Source organism: Homo sapiens, chromosome 2 (genome assembly GCF_000001405.40).
Source record: "Homo sapiens chromosome 2, GRCh38.p14 Primary Assembly".
Taxonomy (NCBI): Eukaryota; Metazoa; Chordata; class Mammalia; order Primates; family Hominidae; genus Homo; species Homo sapiens.
Window position 1 is genome coordinate 192,538,197 of NC_000002.12, and position 5,306 is coordinate 192,543,502.

General features: G+C 34.5%; 1 annotated feature.

Annotated features, from left to right (window-relative positions):
• Positions 3,964–4,784: an enhancer, noted in NCBI's record as "OCT4-NANOG-H3K27ac hESC enhancer chr2:193406886-193407706 (GRCh37/hg19 assembly coordinates)". NCBI's record gives its function as "activates a minimal SCP1, AML or CMV promoter by ChIP-STARR-seq in naive H9 embryonic stem cells {active_cell/tissue: H9 hESC(naive)}" and the evidence as "EXISTENCE:reporter gene assay evidence [ECO:0000049][PMID:30033119]".

A 5,306-nucleotide genomic window follows, 5' to 3' on the forward strand; every position in this document is an offset into this window, starting at 1 on the left:
GACTACAACGGGTGCATGTTTTTGCAATGTAACAACTGCCTCCCTTGAGAAAAGAAGTTATTTTTCCAGTTTCTTCCCACAACTATCTATTGTGTTGATTCTGAGGCCAAGAGACAAATACCATGTTTCTCTCTTATATCTGGATGGATTCATTCATTCATGTCTTTTCTCTGGCCCTTTAGGCATTTGAGGTATGGCCATTATCTTGGAAAGTTTTAGGATGTCACCAAAGACTTTAGAAAATAGAATATCTTCCCATCACAGTTTTCCCATATTCTACTGCTTTTTTCTTTTTAGACCAAGTGCCTACCACTTTTCTTCTTGAAATTTTCTAGGTTTATTTATATTATTACCATTTTTTGAACTTCTATTTTTATTCTGTAGACAAGATTCCAAAAATTATCTTGGATTTTTTTCCAATGTCTTATTATTTCACATGTAGCTTTAACAATATCAGAAACTTAGGTTCCTAAGCATTTTCTTTTACTGCCAAGAGTTCCATATTTTAAATATATTTCTCTGATTTCATTCTTATTTTCTTTAAATATGATGAATTGAAAATCTTGTTTCTGAAGGTATTGAGATTTAGTTACTGTTTTGCCAAAGGGTTTTGATGATGAACAAGATTATTTAAGTCACATATTGCTGTGAAAGTCAGAGCAAGAACAAAATTTGCTAAATAAATGTTTTCACTCTGTTTTGCCTCCAGGATTGTGTTGCACAGCATATAATATGTTGATACATTACTGATAAAATAGCTGCTTGCAATGATACAAATTAATAGAAGAGATTTATCATTTTTATCAAGTAATAGAAACAAGTACACTCCTAGGAAATAGGACTTATCTCTGAATTAAAGCAATTAAAATCATGCCACTGAACCTCACAACCTTAGTCTTGTGAGGTTATTTAAAATTGCTTCTGGTCATATGAAATAAATTTTTAATGAGTAACATAGAGGGATGGGAGTACTGAAGGATATAAAGACTTCTTGGTAAACATCATTTTGAATCCCTTGTAAAGTATATGTCACATCAAACTTAATCCTATTATACACTTTTGTTACAAGAGTTATACTTCCACTATTGTGGCTTTAGGAAGTTGGGGTTTTTCGTATTCCAAGAATAATGGGAAACTTCTTTTGTTTCATGGTTTACTATTGATATATAGTTCTCTTTTAAATACATGGGTCCATTTTAATATACAAGGTGTATCTACAGGTTGCCTTTACATACTTAGAATGTATAATTATACATATTTTTAGAAGCACATTATCGAGACATTTCACAAAAAAATTTACAACTTGTCCAGTGACTAAGGACGTTATGCAATTATTCCAGTTATCCTGTTGGCATTCTGAACTATAAACATATTGTTCAAAACATTTAGATTAGGAAAAGAGTTTAAAAAAGCATGAAAATGGGCATTCTTTGTTCGATTTTTCGTAAAGATATTAGAATCATATATTCACTAAATTAGAGAGATAAAAGTAACACTAAAGTCACAATATAATTTTAACATAAACATTTTACACCCATAGTAGTACAAAATTGTTTCATATCATAGGGCAAATGTCATTGGTCTCAATTAACCAGACACAGTTGACCCATGAACAATAGTGGTTTGAACTGTGCCGGTCCTCTTACAAAGCTGTGGTTTTTTAGCCAAAAGCCATCCAAAAATATAGTATTTTCGGAATGCAAACCTGCATGTACAGAGGGCCACCTTTCCTCCATGCAGGCTCCTAAGGCTGATGCAGAATTTGAGTATGTGCAGACTTAGGTATATATGGGGGATGAGTATATGTTAGCAGATTTGGGTATGTGTGGGGGATCTTTGAACCAACCCCAAGTGTATACCCATAGATAACTATAACACTATTTATACTCTTTATTTGTATTGTCATGACCAACTATTTTGGAGAAAGAACTTGCATTACATAATATTGGAAATAGGTTTTTTTTGGAACTCAGACCAGCATAAAACTGGAAAACATGTTAAATGAATAATTGTATAGCATATCCCACTCCTTGGATTCCTACCAAGAGGTCTTTGAAAAGGTGAGGTAAATACGGCCAAGAGGTAAAGTTAGAAACACATTTTTAAAATCAGTTTCTTGATTTGATATTAAATGGTAGAGAATTTAAACTTCAGGCAATAAAAGAATATGAAAGATCTTTCAAAACATTATTTCAATAGTTGTCATCATTGTCTATAGTGTGTAGGTTATTTTGTCTCTGTATATTTTAAACACCTTTGGAGAAACCTGCTGTGTATTTGTTGTAACAAGTCAAAGAGACAATTTCACTTTTCTCTAGATAATTAAAATTGTCACAGCCTAGGTCTAATAATGCTTTCACTATTTATCTTTAGTTTTTTTCTTATATGTTTGTTTAAATTAGATTTAAAACGTATGATAAAAGCATTCCACATAGTCACTTCTCTAAGAAAAAAACTACATTTAAAACAAATTTCAAGCCCAGGCACAGTGGCTCATGCCTGTAATCCCAGCACTTTGGGAGGCCGAGGTGGGTGGATTACGAGGTCAGGCATTCGAGATCAGCCTGGCCAATATGGTGAAACCCCTGCCTCTACTAAAAATACACAAAATTAGCCGGGAGTGGCAGGCACCTTTAATCCCAGTTACTTGGGAGGCTGAGGCAGGAGAATCACTTGAACTCAGGAGGCAGAGGTTGCAGTGAGCCGAGATCACACCACTGCACTCCAGCCTGGGCGACAGAATGAGACTCTGTCTAAAAAAAAAAAAAAATCAAAACCACATTATTATTTCAGGTGAACAAATTTAGATGTTTGATTTTCTCTAGACTATCTGCTTCTGTGCAACGCTTCCCCATCCCATGTTCTTACCCCACACCTTGCCTTAAGTGCACATTCAGTTTATAATTTAAATATTTGACAGTACCTTCCAAGACATAAAATATTGCTCTTTTTTCCCTGCTCTGGATTTTCTTATATCATAATTGTCAATGATCTCAATTAACCAGACATATAGGAATAATATCACAACTGTGAAAGTTAAAAGTACATGAAATTCTAAACAGCTGTTTTAATCATGTCTGATTACAGAACTTTTGAAATAAATTTTGAGTTATAACTTAAAACCCAGGGAAAATTTATATTATGATTAAAAGTTATTACAAATCACACCATAATTTATTTCAAAGCATGTGAATTCTAGATATTCATGTTAGAATTTTATTTGTATTGTCAAGGAAAATGACATGCACTTGCAGGAAAAAAAAACGTTGACAACAGAGATAATGATAACCTAGGCTCGCCTGAAATGTTCCATTACAATAAGAAATTATTAATCTGAAAACTCCCACATATTGGCATATTGAAAGCTATCGCTATTTTTGTTTATTTGAATAATTTCCAATTTTTATTTCTTGTATAATGGTATTTTATTATTTTCTTTTTAGTTACATCCATAAGTTTAGAAAATTATGTTCCCTCTGAGATATAGAATTTTCATCTTGTATAAAATATTAAGAAAAATTATCTACTTTAACATAAACTCTAATGTAAGGAGTTAAAAATTATATCCATTGGCTTCTGAAAAGACCATGAGCTACCTTTCTTGATCTAGATAATCATTTCTTTTCATAGTAGTTGCACATGTTTTGTAAGAAGGGAAAAAGGAGATAAAACTAGCATATTCAAAGAGTTAAGAACACAAATTCTAGCTTCATTTGTGTTTGGTCTCTAAGAAAGATGGCATGTGTGAAGGGGTGGGTTGCACCTCCACACCTGTGGGTTTTTCTCCTTAGGTGGAACGAGAGACTTGCAAAAGAAAGAGACACAGAGACAAAGTATAGAGAAAGAAAAAAGGGGGCCCGGGGGACCGGCGTTCAGCATACGGAGGATCCTGCCGGCCTCTGAGTTCCCTTAGTATTTATTGATCATTATTGGGTGTTTCTCAGAGAGGGGCATGTGGCAAGGTCATAGGATAATAGTGGAGAGAAGGTCAGCAGGTAAACACGTGAACAAAGGTCTCTGCATCATAAACAAGGTAAAGAATTAAGTGCTGTGCTTTAGATATGTATAACATAAACATCTCAATGCCTTAAACAGCAGTATTGCTGCCCACATGTCCCACCTCTAGCCCTAAGGCGGTTTTCCCCTGTCTCAGTAGATGGAATATACAATCGGGTTTTACACCGAGACATTCCATTGCCCAGGGACGAGCAGGAGACAGATGCCTTCCTCTTGTCTCAACTGCAAAAAGGCGTTCCTTCCTCCTTTACTAATCCTCCTCAGCACAGACCCTTTACGGGTGTCGGGCTGGGGGACGGTCAGGTCTTTCCCTTCCCATGAGGCCATATTTCAGACTATCACATGGGGAGAAACCTTGGACAATACCTGGCTTTCCTAGGCAGAGGTCCCTGCGGGCTTCCGCAGTGTTTTGTGTCTCTGGGTACTTGAGATTAGGGAGTGGTTTGAGACTAGGGAGTGGTGGTGACTCTTAACGAGCATGCTGCCTTCAAGCATTTGTTTAACAAAGCACATCTTGCACAGCCCTTAATCCATTTAACCCAGAGTTGACACAGCACATGTTTCAGGGAGCGCAGGGTTGGGGGTAAGGTTACAGATTAACAGCATCTCAAGGCAGAAGAATTTTTCTTAGTACAGAGGAAAATGGAGTCTCCTATGTCTACTTCTTTCTACACAGACACAGTAACAATCTGATCTCTCTTTCTTTTCCCCACACATGTGCTTATAAAAAATAGCAAGAGAATTGCACTCATGCTAAGTATATTCTATCCTTTACGTACTCTGCTTACTATTTCTCTAACACATATTTATATATGTATTTTATGCTACATTTGACTTTTTCTTAAAAATAAAGTAAATTAATTTAGAGCAACCAGTTTCATAAAGTTAGCTGTTATTTCATGTTCACCTTAAATCAAAAAGTAATTATATATGAACATTCAGAGGAAAATAATATATGGACAACTTTTCCTACATCAGTTACAAATGGGGTCAATAAAAAAATCACAGTTTTCAACACGGAAGGTATTATTACCTTTAATTTATCATAAATCTATCATATATATTATATTCAACATGATATATATGAAAAGTGTATATATTCAACAAAAGATAGGCATATATTTGTTGAATCTTCTCATTCACATATTGCCAAATTTTGAATTTTAGAAAGATAAAAGAAATAAAACTCTTTGCTTTATTGTTGTTCAATTATGCACGAAGGTATGCCTCATGTACAATTATAACATAAAGATACTAGATCAATCATTTCCAAATATAAACCAGTTATT